Raw genomic sequence first — 15,273 nt, forward strand, 5'->3', positions numbered from 1 at the left:
CCTGCTCAAACTCAGGCATTTTGGTGCAAAAAGAGACAACGCGTTGGGAGGAGCAGCGTTGTTTTGTGTAGTTCCCATTTGGTTCAGAGGCCTGAGACAGAGGCATCCTGCTCTGGTTTGACTCGTTTCTGATAAGGCTCCTTGAGCAGGTCACTTCTTCTACCACTTGGGCTTCTCTTTTACAAAATGGGGATAATCATGTATAAATGACCAGGATAGTGGTGAGGATTCACCAAGAGCCCTTTGCAGTCATTGAAGCGCTATGCAAATGTTAGTTCTGGGGATTAAAAATAAAAAGGATTCACCTTACTAGAAAGACACAAGGTGTTTGCATTTTGCAATTTTGGTGACTTGCTGCCTTACTAGAAAAAAAAATGAGCATTTTCGATTCTCAGCCCGGCTCTGTTGTTGCATGTGAGCCATTTGCAAACCCTGCTTGTCGGGTACAGCTTTGCAAAGTGGGAAGTGGTCTCTCTCGCCTTCAACTCTTCTTCTCTGAGAAGCTGTAAGGATTAATTGGATGGTGTCCATGCTGTCTGCCAGGAAGATAGAAAGTGTGAAGTATCATCTGGATGGGTTTGGTAAGCACGAGATTCTCTTTCCTCTGCTTATGACAAACAGAGTGACAGCCCAGTGCTGTGTTTAAACAAGTTAATATGTATGTTCCTTGACATAAGGAAGCGCTCTAATCACGAAATACAGCTTGCATGTCATTTGGTTTTGAGATTTTATTGAGTACTACTAATCTTGACATATTTTGGTTGGCACCACATTCTTGGTATAGTGGGTTAGTGGTTGAATAGTTTGCAGACTTTGTGAAACAAAATCCTCATTTAATGGTTTAGTTTGGCTACATTTTGAAAATATACAAAAACATAATGCACTTTTATTTTATAGGGAATTTTTTTTCAACTTGTGGCTTTGTTTTTTTCTTTTTCTTTCTTTCTTTCTTTTCCTCACTGCCCTTTCTTTCCTCTCTGTCCCTGTCTCTTTGTCTCTGTCTCTCTTTTTAATGTTCCAGTTGCAGCAGCCTAGGAGGAAAGCAGCAGAGAAAGACAACCTGTGACCCTACTGAGCTGCAGGCAGAAGAATCTTCTTTGTACTGCTCGAGGTCAAGAATGTGTTTACCCCCTGGCCTAATGCTCTGAACTTTTGCATCTGAGTGCAGGACTTCAGGACCTCTGAAGGCCACCACGCAGTGGAATGAAGCTCCCTAGCAGAAGCAACTGGATTAAACGTGCAACAAGACCAGTCCACACCAGCCCCCCAAGTCACTGAACTCAATGACATCATGCCCAGGCAGAGAAAGTCAACAGGCCTCTGGCCCGGGTCCCCTCCACTCCTCTCATTTCTTCTGCCTCTCGCTGTTCTTAACCCAGGGACAGTATTTAGAAAGCAGAGCGGGTTCAGGCAGCCCTCTCAATTACTTTGGCTGGAACCTTCCTGAGTACATTTTGCTATCTCTTTGTGATGTAAACAGGGGCATTCACAGTTGGCAGGGGATGCTCTTTCTGTTTTAATTACACATGGCATAATTATAGTCCCAGGGTCTGGAAACAGCACAAAGTTCTTTGGAGAACTTCATAGGGATTTTTCTGTTATGACATAGTTTATCAGGAGAAAAAAAAGTAAGGCAAAAGACATTTCCAAAGAGGAACGAACAACACTATTTATACTAGCATTCCATTCCCTAATGAGCAGATCACAAAATTGGAGTAGACATTTTTTCTGGAGGCGGGGGTGGAGTTTCAAAATTTTGGACTCATGGACAGTGGTGGCAAAATCTAGATAAATACTAATGAATGGATGTGGGTGGAGAAGGATATATACGTAAATTTTTTTTACTTAAGAAAGCAATTAGAAGGCATCCAGCTGTATCTGAGGGAATTTGCACGTACCCTGGACCCTGAGGATATGGAAAAAGATTCTACCATAGTCATAGTAATCTGGCCTAAACCTGAGTCGTAAAATTCTCTCTGCCCCCAGATGTGCAGTATGAGGGCACTTCATTACTCTGCTGATGTAGTGAGAAATCGCAGAACTGCCATGGTAATGGAGAGTGCAGTGACAGAGATGGGGAGAGACGGCTGTTTCTCTGTTATGAAACATGTTTTCATAGGTAATTCTGATGTACAGTAGGTATTAAATAGAGCAACGAAAAGATGTTTTATTTTAGATTACTGCTAGAGTGATATTTCCCCCATGGCACTAATAATCTGGCTGCTTTCTAAAGCCTATTTCCTCTCCCAGTTTCTCATAGACTCCCAGCACTGTTTTGGCAGAAGGGTAAGCCATTGCATTGAAATTTCTGCCTTGGAAAAGTAGAAGATCAACTTTATATATTATGCATTTTATATTTAGACTAGAGGGACATGGTGCATTTTTTTCTGGTGGGGAGGAAGATATTAAATAAGTTCTGCTTTTGCAATGTAGAGATAGGAATATATATAGGGGGTAAAAATATTTCAAGAACGGCTTTTTGTAATTGAGTGATTTTTTTTTTTCTAAGACAGAGTCTTGCTCTGTTGCCCTGGCTGGAGTATAGTGGCACAATCTTGGCTCACTGCAACCTCCGCCTCCCAGGTTTGAGCGATCCTCCTGCCTCGGCCCCCCTAGTAGCTGGGATTACAGGCACGCACCACCATGCCCAGCTAATGTTTGTGTTTTTAGTAGAGACAGGGTTTTGCCATGTTGGCCAGGCTGGTCTCAAACTCCTGACCTCAGGTGATCCACCTGACTTACCCTCCCAAAGTGTTGGGATTATAGGCGTGAGCCACTGTGCCCAACCTCGAGTGATCATTTAAGACACCCCTGTATGCATGCATGCTGGTTTGAAATCCAGGGGACACACCACTTCAGCCTAGCCTCTCTGCTGTCTGTATCACGGAGGACTCACAGACCTAGTTTAATTGTATGCTTCTTACATATTTCAAGGCTGACACAGGAACAGCAATAAGAGGCCTGTGGTTGAAACCACATCGTTTTCATCACAGTGGAAAAAAAATAAGGTCATTGCAGGTTTGGAGCATGGTTAGGTTTGAGCCTGCCCACATTATTTTATTCATGTTAAAATATAAAGAGATGGCCGGGCGCGGTGGCACACGCCTGTAATCCCAGCACTTTGGGAGGCCGAGGCGGGCGGATCACGAGGTCAGGAGATCGAGACCATCCCGGCTAAAAAAACGGTGAAACCCCGTCTCTACTAAAAATACAAAAATTAGCCGGGCGTAGTGGCGGGCGCCTGTAGTCCCAGCTACTTGGGAGGCTGAGGCAGGAGAATGGCGTGAACCCGGGAGGCGGAGCTTGCAATGAGCCGAGATCGCGCCACTGCACTCCAGCCTGGGCGACAGAGGGAGACTCCGTCTCAAAAAAAAAAAAAAAAAAAAAAAAAAAAAAAAATATATATATATATATAAAGAGATGAGAAACATATTGAACGAGAGGACAGAAGTTAATTTATTTCTGGGCCTTCCCCTCTCTGCAATATCCTCCCACCCACTTTTAGCTGGAGGGTGAGCCCTCTCTGCCAGCCCTTCTCCCCCTCCACCTTTGGGGTTTTGTTTTTCTTTTTTTTTTTCAATTTGTTAAGATGCTGAAATCTGCTTTGTGTGATTTATGAAGGAACTTGAAGCGATTAGTTTCACAGTGCATGAAAATTCCTCAGGTTCAGGGGGGGATGGCCAATCTGTTACACTGTTTGCCGTGGACTGGGTGGGAACTTGAGCAGCTCGGAGCCATAAGGAGATTGTGTTGAGTTATTAAACACTTGTGGTAAAGCTGCTTATTGTTAATTCCCCGATGTCCTGCTGAAGCGATAGGATAAAATCAGATCGGATTAGATCAAAGAGCCTGGGAGCCAGCCTTTGGAGCAGATTCATTTAATCAATAAAGAGACCTCCTGAGAGACAGGGAGAGAATGGGCAGTGCTGGTGGCTCAGGGATTAAGACCGGGTTGGGGGAGTTATGGGAAAGAAACAACAGTTTATACATAGATATTTCTCCCCTTTTTTAGAGGTGTAATTCTCTTCTCAAATATTTTAGCCACACTCAGCAAAGTGTATAAACATTTCTTTAAGATTCCATGACTCCAACCCTCCATTGCTCCAAAAATGCCCTATAAGTCAGGAAGTTAGAGAGAAAAAAACCACCAAAAAAACAACTTCTGTTCCATAAAAGGTATTTCAACAAAAGCAATTTAGGCTTAAGTGATTCCCCAAGAAACATTAATCCTTTATGAGTCAATCTGCAAAATTTCCTATTGTTCTTTTGTGAGGAGAAATAATAGAGAAACACCAAAAGGCCAAAGTCTAGCTCCACCCCGCTCTTTGTATTCTCCTCACTGCCCACCTCCCAGCCCCCACCAGTAATTATAAGGCATTGTGTATTAAGAGGTATGATGTGGCTTCCTTCATCCATGATTAACACTTACACCAATGCATATTCATTCATCTCTTAGCCCTACCAAACCCTGCTAAAATGAGGACTTGCCAATAAGGAAGTCACACCCATTAGAAAGTTAACCACAGAAAATGAGAGAAAAAATGAAGGATAGAGCAAATTAAGGATGCGAGTCCCTCAATGGTTATTGGCCTTAATGGTGTTATAAAAATGATGTCGGCTTTTACCAGGAATAATTTATATTCTGAATTAAATAAGGATATGTATCTATAAATCCATTCTATAAAACTTAATTTTCCATCTAGATAGGCTGATTACTTTGGGCTCGGCATACCTTTACCGGTTGTTAATTACTGCGGGATGGTTTAACACTATTTTCCAAATCAGCATGCATGCATAAAATGACTGCAATCCAATTTGACACATTATTAGTGATGATTATTGTCATAGATAAATTAGATTGAACAGAAAATAACCTTCATCCTTAGCATGTTTTAGCTCTCAGAATTAATGTGATTTGGTGAACACATATAAATAAAAATCTGACGAGTCCCTGCTGACTACAGGGCCTGTTGGTGCTGAAGTGTATCAATTTCATGCAGATGATGAATTCCTTAAGCATTCAGTGATAATCATGCTTGATTTGACAAGACTTTCTCATGCTATTTTAGGGCCTTAATTTTCTGTGAAGTTCTGTCAAGTGCTCATCAAGCACCCACTTATCTCCGTATCTTAACCTGGCAGCCAATCACAAGGTTGCCTAACAGTACAGCTACGGAGTGCCAGCCCATTAATATTCGGGTCACGTGACTGTCCAAGGAGAGAAACCAATCAATGGCTGATTAACATTCAGGTCACATGACTCCCGAGGAGAGTAAATGAGTTACACAGTAAGACATCAAACAAATTTTCATCTTGAAAGAGTGATTGCTTTTTCTGCTGCTGTGATGTTTGTCAAATTCGCTCTAGCCTTGTCCAATTAAGCTCCATGAGCTGAATTAATAATGAAGAGATGTAAGCACCGAGCCAGCATGAGCGCTGCGATCTGTGCCACGTAATAAGAACTGCTTAAAAAAAAAAAAAAAAAAATCCTACAATGATTGAAAAATCACATCTGGATAACTGGAATAATTGCTTTTGCAATCTTGATGCTGTTTTGTAATCTCCAGTGCAAAGTGTGAACTGGAGTATGCTGGGACATGGCACTGAGCTGGCATTGTACTTCAAAGATGAATGTGTTCTTGAGTTTAGAATGATTTTAAAGGCATTACACAAATACATGTTAATTGGATTATTGTTTGTGACCATAGTAATGAATTTCATTTGCACACTCAATTATGCTCTGGGGCTTTCTGGAGGTATGATCTTTCAAGGTTTTTTAAACTGGCTCATGCCTGTAATCCCAGCACTTTGGGAGGCCGAGGCAGGAAGATCATGAGGTCAGGAGATCGAGACCATCCTGACTAACACAGTGAAACCCTGTCTCTACTAAAATACAAAAAAAATTAGCCGGGCATGGTGGTGGGCGCCTGTAGTCCCAGCTACTGGGGAGGCTGAGGCAGGAGAATGGCGTGAACCCGGGAGGTGGAGCTTGCAGTGAGCCAAAATCGTGCCACTGCCCTCCAGCCTGGGTGGCAGACTGAGACTCCATCTCAAAAAAAAAAAAATTTTTTTTTAAACTGTCAGAAGAGGGGAAGGAAATTATTCTCTATTCTTGTATCTTGGGTGAAGAAAAGACTGAACTAAGTCCTCAGAGAGAATTAGAGTGTTGGTGTGGGTGTGTGGGTGTGTGCTTCTCATTTTATTAACATGCAGAGGTTGATAAATTAAATTCACTGAATTATTTCAAAATGCACATGTGAACCCAGTGAAAATTTTCAGAAAAAGGCAGATGCTCTCTTGCTGTTGATAGCCAGTGACAGCTTTCTTGTAGTTTCAGGGAAAGTTCTATTCAATCACAAAGTCAATTGCATTTCAGCACAGATACACTACTAAATTCAGGTGACATGTTTAGAATAGAGACCCTATGACTAATAAAGCTTTCATTCTTTCCCTGAAGGGAGTGAGACTTGACTAATGGTTTTGGAATTATCAAAGAGTGTCAAATCCCACTTATTAAGTTCCAGCATGAAATTAGCTAAATTCCCAAAGGCCTTTCTAAAACAATATAGTCAAATAAAAGGTGTTGGGCGTGCTGGAAAGAGTGTTAAAACCAGTTACTTGGAAGTGATGAGAAATAAATCTAACCATAGGCAGGAGGCAATGTTTATGTATACAGTTAATAACCTTCTTAATGGGACTTCTTGGCTTGGTGATTCCCGGACGGGGAGGAAAGTGAGATGTGGAGCACAGGGTAGGCGAAGGGCCGTAAGTCAATTCCCAGCACTGTTAGTCAAGGATGGAAATTGCAAAGAGAGAAGCAATGAATTTAAAAGCCCCAGCAAGCTGAGAGAGTGGAAGGAGAAGATGAACTGTACATTTCGAGGAGGAGGGAATGAAGGTGGAAGGGGAATGGTTGCGAGTCCACATTGGATCATAATAAAGTAATTAAAGTTGATTTAGTCCAGAGAACAAGGGGCTCCATCATTTTTTCAGCATTGTCTCCTTAGGGTGAGTGAGGCCTGAAGGAGAGCATATTATAGAAGTGGTTTTATTCAAAAAAGCTAAAGTTGAGACCCCAACCACTAAGACTCAAATGGAATTTCAGATTCTTGTGAAAACGCAGTCCTGAGTTGGTATGAGAAGACCTGAGGTACCCAAGGTAATGTAAGTTGAATGGACATTCTTTTCCTCAATATTTTACCTCTGACTCACTTTGCAGTGAAGTGGCAGCCTGGAGCTCTACTTACATGCAGCTCACACACCATGGAGCCCCTTCCTACAAGCACCCCCACTTCCTGGCACTTGAGAGGCACAGAATGGAAGGTGGCTCCACGTTGTCCTCATCAGTTGGTTTTAGAAGGCCCTGAATAAAAGAGTATTCCACTTTCTGCATAACTTTACATAATTAATAGTTTTCCATGCAAACTACTGTTTGCAGTAATTGTTGTTTCAACAGCTGTTTTCATTAAATTGTAAAGCCCGCTGTGTCTAATCCTTTGAGCCCCACTATTGATAACAAGAACAGCTCTGAAGCTTGCTCTGGAGGAGGGTTCCCTGCCAAGCTGGAAAACTGTCATGAAGTTACTTGAAAAATAAGGCCTACAGTGGGACTGGTTGTGTAGCTAATCCATTAGGCTTTTCAAAAGAGCCATGCTCTGTCCCCTTATGGCTAAATTGACCCAACAACCAATCAATGCCTTTATTTGCTGAGTGGCTGCCCCCGAAGGGTCTTACAGCTGGGTCCAAGTCGTAATCAAAGCCTCCATCAGTACTGGGGCCCTGATGACATAAATGGCCCAACTTTCAACGCAGCTGGCCCAAGTCCAGTCACACCATTTTGAAGATACAAAGAGGCTGTGTTGCGCGGTGGAATTCATTTTCTTGTTTACTTCCTCCAGAAACAAGAGCATCATCAGCACGCTCAGTGCATCGGATCAGACCGCGGAGTTGTTGACAGAAGCTTGGCGAGGCCTGCCAGCTTTCCGCATGAAACGCTGGCTTTCTTCTCATACACCCCCTACCGTTTGTGTCTCTGCCAATTGTAGCACATCAGAGCGGCCATTGAGATAATGACCGTGAAGTCTCATGATACACTTTGATGAAGTGTAACATTTTTTAAAGGATTTTTGTCTGTGCCAAAATGATCGAGGCAGCTGACTAAAAATCGCCCCATCAAAATCAGGGCTGATGAACAGCAGGCGGAGGCAGGAGTCTCCCCAGAGAAGATGGGGGGATTTCGCAGCCAAAGTGTCTTTCTTTCCAGGTCTGTGTGCACCACAGATTCCTTTTTTAAAAAGTTGTCTTTGTTTCAGATGAATATATGTCAGTTGCTGATGCTTCAGCCTCCAACATTTTTTAATTCTTTTTTTTTTTTCTATCAAACCCCAGAAGATGCAGGGACTGATTCCTTTCTGACAGGTCCTTACTAATGACTTAGAACATAATGTTATTGTTAATAACTCCATCTTGCTTGGGAAAAGCATTCCAGAGCTCATCAGTGCAATAGCAGAGGTTTTCAGTCAGAAGCTGACTCTAGATTCGTGTTCATGTAACTTTGCCTTTCTCTAGTTTAGCAGGAATTGAGAGTAGGATACACAAAGTGGTTCTCAGCCAGGGAAAAACAAAATTAAGCTGGTAAAACATAGACAAAGATTCTGAGCTTCTTTGGGAGAAAAATCATATGTTTCATTTACTGCCTGGGTCCATCACGACTACCATTTATTGAACACCTGCTGAGTGAGGTGGGTGATAGGTGATAGTACCAGGTGATTTGGATTTTCACATAGTGTCCCTGACCTGCAGGACAACTCCATTTCCCAAGTGGAGAAACCAAGGCCCAAACGAGGAGCCTCAGTTGGGGCAATGTTAAGTGACTTGGCCAAGCCCAAACCAAAGAGCTGGGAAGTGGGAAGGCAGGTCTGACCCATGCACTTCCTTACAAGATGTGATCCCTTTCTATCTGTGGTTTGCTGTTTCCATTGTGCACCTGATATGGCTTATTAAATGGTGCCCAGTGGGAGAAAACAATTTGTGGTTGAACTGGTAAAGGCAATGAATCAAATGAATTTACAGTCTGCCACTCTGACCTCTTAGCTTTCTCGAAGGAAGACATTAGCTATGTGGCATCCTTTCATACGACTTAACAAACGTAGGCTCAGAAACCAGGTTTAAGTATGAAAGAAGCAGCAGTGAGGTTTTGGCTACCCTCTCTCCATCTGTAGTTTACCTTCTTACTCAAGGTTAAACCTTGGGACAGGTCTTACCCTTCTGAGGAAGTGAGAGCTGTGAACTCTAGGACTTCGCTGAATGTCATAACTAAAGAGACACCTGTATTTAAGTAAGTTTATGCAGAAACCACAAGTGGAAACCACAAGGGGGTTATGGGTCAGCTGCCTTTAGAATCTTTGCTTCTATATAAGAATATGCATGCACATATATATTCTTGGGTGCAGGACTATGTATTAGAGTGGGGCAGAGGTGGTAAATTAGGGGAAGAGTGAAGGTAAAGGAAGCCAGGGGTAGCTGGCTTAATCATGATAAAAACACTTATATTTGCATGTGCAGATGAGATTCCTTTGGGCTTCTTTTAAATGCCTTCATACTGTTCCCTAAGTACAGTCAAATAAAAGGTGACAAAAACTCAGACGACAGAACAAAAGAACCAAGCTAATTTTGTGCACACATTGCAAGCAGTAAACTGCAGAGCTTCACTACCCTCTTTCCAAAGAAAGTATATTTCAGGAGTCAAGATGGGTTCATCCCAGTTTGCATTTAGATTTTATTTTGCTAATTATTTGGATTTTAAAAAGGAACAGTGTCCCAAATCCAAGTTTTGCAGACAAGTTTAGGCAGTCAAATTTATACACCTGAGGCATTGTGAAAGAAAAAGGACAACAGCCTCTCTGGAGTTGGCAGAAATGTGACTAAGGCTTCTCATCCCATAGAAGGCAGGAAGGAGCTACATAGATCCATTTGCACAGGGAAACTTGTCTAATGGACTCAGAGATTTTCTGAGAGTTCTTTCAGCCTCCCTTCTATGCCAAAGTATGGGCATATGCATTTTATAACGGGAGAGTAGTCTATTGGGAGAATCCATCACAAACTCTTTATCTCATTTCAAACAGAAAGCACTAAGACTCCAAAGGCAAAGAGGCTCCTTCTTTCCTCCAGGAGCCCCTGAGTGAGGGAACCACACAAACCCATTTAACTTTAGAGAAAACTGTTACGATTTGTTTCAGCCTGTCTTCTTACCCTCACTTTGCTCATTTGTAGAATGATGGGTTTATATTCTCTGAATACCCCCCAGCACCAAAAGTTTCTAGTTTTTAAAGATTCTTTAAGTATAGACTAATGCCTTTCATTTCCACTGTTTCTAAGAGGATCAGGAAACTAACTGAATCAGTCCAAATTGACAAATAAAAAGATCTATTTGCTACTTTCCAAATATGCTGTACTTCTGAGCCTTTGCTCAAGTCTGTGTTTCTCAGAGTGAGGTCCCTGGACCCAGGCCATCAGCATCACCTGAAATGCAAATTCTCATGCTCCATCCCAGACTTACTGAATTCCTCTCCCTCTCTCTCAGCCCAGCCACCACGTAAACAAGCCCAGCTGTCCTGCTAGAGAGGTTCTGGGGTGAGGCTGCGAGGAGAAGAGCCTTGATTTGAAGCCTTAAGAGTGACCCTGAGCTAGAACCACCCAGTTAAGCTGTGTCTCCATTCCTGAGCCACAGAAACTATGAGATGATAAATGTTTATTGCTCTAAGTTGCTAAATTCGGAGGTAATTTGTTATGCGCCAATAGATAACTAAATACACAGGGCTTGCATGTTTTTGTATTCTCTAAAGCTCATAATGGGATGCTTTGCTCATAATAGGAGTTTATTATATGATTGCTGGAATTGAAGGAATTTTGCCTTGAGAAATTTTCAAGAGTAATTTCTCAGTTTAAAAGGGTTGTGTTCACTATAGGTTCCAGGAAAAGATGCCTGAATAAGTTACAGGAAAACAACAAAAAGGGTGGGGGTTGGAGGAACACAGAATGAAAGGAAGAAGGGAAAACGTAGTAAGTTTGAGGGAAACTGTATATTAGGCTTCTCCAGTCTTTGAGTTTTCCTGCAGTTTCTCCAACTTATGAAATAAGGGAGTTTTTTTTCTTTTTTTTTTAAGAGACAGAGTCTTGGTTTATCACCCAGGCTGGAGTGCAGTGGTGTGATCATAACTTACTGCAGCCTGGAACTTTTGGGCTCAAGCAATCTTCCCGCCTCAGCCTTCTGCCTCAGTCTCCTGAATAGCTGAAACTATAGGCGTGTGCCACCAAGCCCATAATTTTTGTAGAGACAGGGGTCTTGCTTTGTTGCCCAGGCTGGTCTCAAAATCCTGGCCTCAAGCAGTCTTCACTCCTTGGCCTCCCAAAATGTTGGGATTACAGGTGTGAGCCACCACACCTGGCAAGAGACTTTTTATGTTACCATTTTAAGAGGAAGGAGGCCCAACTACCCAAATAAATATCTTCAGTGCAATAGAGGAAGTCCAGAAATTCCAAATTGCCGGCCAGAGTCCACCATTTGAAGATAAAGTGCGACACTCAAGAGGCTGAGCCTGGATTTAGCTGAGACAAGTGTCGGAATGACCATCCCTCACTTCTAGTCTTTCCTGCCACTACATTCATAGCTTTCTTTTAAATTTTGACCAATAAAAATTGTGTATATTTGGCCAGGCGTGGTGGCTCACTCCTGTAATCCCAGCACTATGGGAGGCTGAGGTGCGCAAATCGCTTGAGGTCAGGAATTCGAAACCAGCCTGGCCCACATGGTGAAACCCCGTCTCTACTAAAAACACAAAACAGTTAGCCGGGCATAGTGGTGCATGCTTATAATCCCAGCTACCTGGGAGGCTGAGTCAGGAGAACTGCTTGAACTCAGGAGGTGGAGGGTGCAGTGAGCTGAGATTGCGCCACTGCACTCCAGCCTGGGCGAGAGAGTGAGACTCTGTCTCAACAAAAAACAAAAATTGTGTATATTTATACAATTTGTGTAATGGTGTACAACATCATGTTTTGAAATATGTATGCACTGTGGAGTCATGTTTCTCTTTCTCTCAACATCCTAACAGTCATATTTTCTGCTCGTCAGCTCCAGACATTAACGTGAATAATGTGGAAGGTAAAACAACACATCCTCTGGATTTGTGAGTAGCTGGAAGTTGGCCTTCCTTATTTTATGCCTATGCCTCTCTTGCCTAGCTAGCTCAGTGTCACCTCAAGTTTCTTTCTTTTTTTTTTTTCTTTTTAATTTTGAGACGGAGTCTCGCTCTGTCGCCCAGGCTGGAGTGCAGTGACGTGATCTCGGCTCACTGCAACAGGTGATCTCGGCTCACTGCAACCTCTGTCTCCCAGGTTCAAGTGATTCTCCTGCCTCAGCCTCCAGAGTAGCTGGGATTACAGGCACCTGCCATCATGCTTGGCTACTTTTTTGTATTTTTGTAGAAGTAGCGTTTCACCATGTTGGCCAGGCTGGTCTTGAACTTCTGACCTCAGGTGATCCACTCACCTCGGCCTCCCAAAGTGCAGGGATTACAGGTGTGAGCCACCGTGCGCAGCCTCACCTCCAGTTTCTTTCCCTTTCTTGTCTAAAGGAGGGCTGAGCGTGCCTGGAAGGAAAGAGGGGTGTTGAAAACAGGTGAGCAGCCCTTCTCCTGGTACAGCCAGCAAGCTTGTCCACACAGTGTTTGGTGTGGTACTTATTCTACCCTTCAGGACAATGCTTTCTTGGTACTTCTGAATGCTGCTGCTGGCTCCTGCAACCACACACACACACACGCACACCTGTAACGCACTCCTCTGAAAAACTCTAATCTCAGACAGAATGCAGCCAGCTGAAACCAGCAGTGGAACATCCTTCTCTAGATACCTCAGGACATAATGGAGACTGACTTTCTGGGAGATTGCTTGGCTGGGTGGAGAATGAAGACTTTAATTTCAAGCCATCTTGTTTGCAGTTTCCTTGAGAAAAAAATCTTGGTTTGGATGACACCCAGTATAATATGATTTATTTGGTGTAAGTGCAAGAATTTTTCTCTTTAATTTTCTCATTTCCTGAACATAGGGCCTTTTTTTGAGATTTTTTTTTCTTTCCACTGTTGTTGACATATTTGGTTTCATTTTTAAGAGCAAAAAAAATTATTTAGGAGAAAGGCTTAATTAAGTTTTCTAGGGATATTAATTTGGCGATTACTTGCGTTACTTAACTAAAGAAAAGCCAAATAAAACTATATAGCTATGATTTCAAGGCATAGCACTTCAGAATAAGTGTCAGACAAAATTGTTTCTTGTTATGATCTGGGGAGTGGCCTATGAAAGCTGTTTTGAGTTTGGAGGAATTTTGAAGTTGTTGCTTTATGGAAATTATGATGTTTCTGGAGAGATCCTCCAGGTTCCACATTCTGTAATTCTGTAATTTCTTTTCTTTTCTTTCTTTTTTTTTTTTTTTTTGAGATGGAGTTTCGCTCTTGTCACCCAGGCTGGAGTGCAGTGGTGCAATCTCGGCTCACTGCAACCTCCACCTCCTGGGTTCAAGCAATTCTCATGCCTCAGCCTCCCAAATAGCTGAGATTACAGGCATGTGCTACCACGCCCGGCTAATTTTTTGTATTTTTACTAGAGATGGTGTTTCACCATATTGGTCAGGCTGGTCTCGAACTCCTGACCTCACGTGATCCACCGGCCTCGGCCTCCCAAAGTGCTGGGATTACAGGCATGAGCCACCATGCCTGGCCCCATCCCAGACTTCTTCCAGCTGAGGAAGATGCTGAGCCCAGGCACAGGCCAAAAAATGGTGGAGTTCAGTGACAGCATTGAAGGAGCATTCCGGCCTCCTCCCTCTGTTTATCCTTTTGTCAACGTGGATGATGTTTGCCAGGGTAGAAAAGCCACACATTCTTGGTATAATTGATGGGGCACTGTCAAGCAATGGTATAAGTGGTTTATTTTGAAGGAGGTTATTACTGGCCACAAAACTTCAAGTCAGCTGTTTGCTGGGAACCCTCATGAAGGAAGCCCCTGTTTTGGTGTCCACCCTCAAAAGCATCTCACAGAGGGCTTACTGTACTTTTGCACCCAGCCACATTTAATCCATTTATAAGACCCCTTTGTCTGAGATGCCTTACCAGAGGAAATTAATGAAGGATATTGCAGACAGCTTTTAAGAATGTCTTTTCTATAGCACTGTGTAGTTCTGAGAGCAAAGTGGGTTTTTTTCCCCCACATTGTTATGACTTGACATCTCCGATGTGGAATGTTTCCAGCCAGTTATGATAGGAAAGGGCTGGACTTTTTACTCTTGTGGAAACCACGGCAGAAGAAAGCCATTATATTATCTATTCACTTGCTCTCCTGTAAATATAAATGCATTTAAGAAATGGGTCCTCGTTAGGGGAGGTGAGGTGGCAGCACTTAAAAGTCAGGCAATGAAAAATGGAAAGTTTGCCCCGGCGCGGTGGCTCACGCCTGTAATCTCAGCACTTTGGGTGGTCGAGGCGGGTGGATCACCTGAGGTCAGGAGTTTGAGACTAGCCTGACAAACATGGAGAAACCCCGTCTCTACTAAAAATACAAAATTAGCTGGGTGTAGTGGCACATGCCTGTAATTCCAGCTACTCGGGAGACTGAGGCGGAAGAACCACTTGAACCCAGGAGGTGGAGGTTGCGGTGAGCCAAGATAGCGCCATTGTACTCCAGCCTGGGCAACAAGAGTGAAACCCAGTCTCAAAAAAAAAAAAAAAGAAAAGAAAAAGAAAAGAAAAAAAATGGAAAGTTCAAGATCACAATGGTTACCATGTGGACAGCAGAAGATAAACATGTGACTCACAAGGAGGAAGATATATTTAATAAACCTATCCCCGAATGAAAGGTCCTTGGTCTTTTGGTTTTTGTTGTGTTCATTTCACAGCAGATCAGTGAGCGTGTCCTTACTGCCTGGCCCCAGTTCAAGTCCTGGTGTTAGTGCTTCGGCTTTGAAGTCAGATGACCTGGGGTCAAGCCTGTGCCTTGCCACTGGGTGGCTGTGTGGCCTTGGGCAAGCTATTTGCTAAACTTTCTGTTTCTGCATCTATACAAAGTGAATAAGACTGAAACCTTCCCTTCATAAGGCTGTTGAAGGCCAGGCGTGGTCACTCACGCCTATAATCCCAGCACTTTAGGGGACCGAGGTGGGAGGATCGCTTGAGGCCAGGAGTTTGAATTCAGCCTGGCAAACATAGCAAGACCCCATTTCTACAA

At 43.0% G+C, this 15,273-nt stretch overlaps 1 annotated feature.

Moving 5' to 3' along the window:
- Positions 1,201 to 1,790: an enhancer, noted in NCBI's record as "NANOG hESC enhancer chr9:84434914-84435503 (GRCh37/hg19 assembly coordinates)". NCBI's record gives its function as "activates a minimal SCP1, AML or CMV promoter by ChIP-STARR-seq in naive H9 embryonic stem cells {active_cell/tissue: H9 hESC(naive)}" and the evidence as "EXISTENCE:reporter gene assay evidence [ECO:0000049][PMID:30033119]".

Source organism: Homo sapiens, chromosome 9 (genome assembly GCF_000001405.40).
Source record: "Homo sapiens chromosome 9, GRCh38.p14 Primary Assembly".
NCBI lineage: Eukaryota > Metazoa > Chordata > Mammalia > Primates > Hominidae > Homo > Homo sapiens.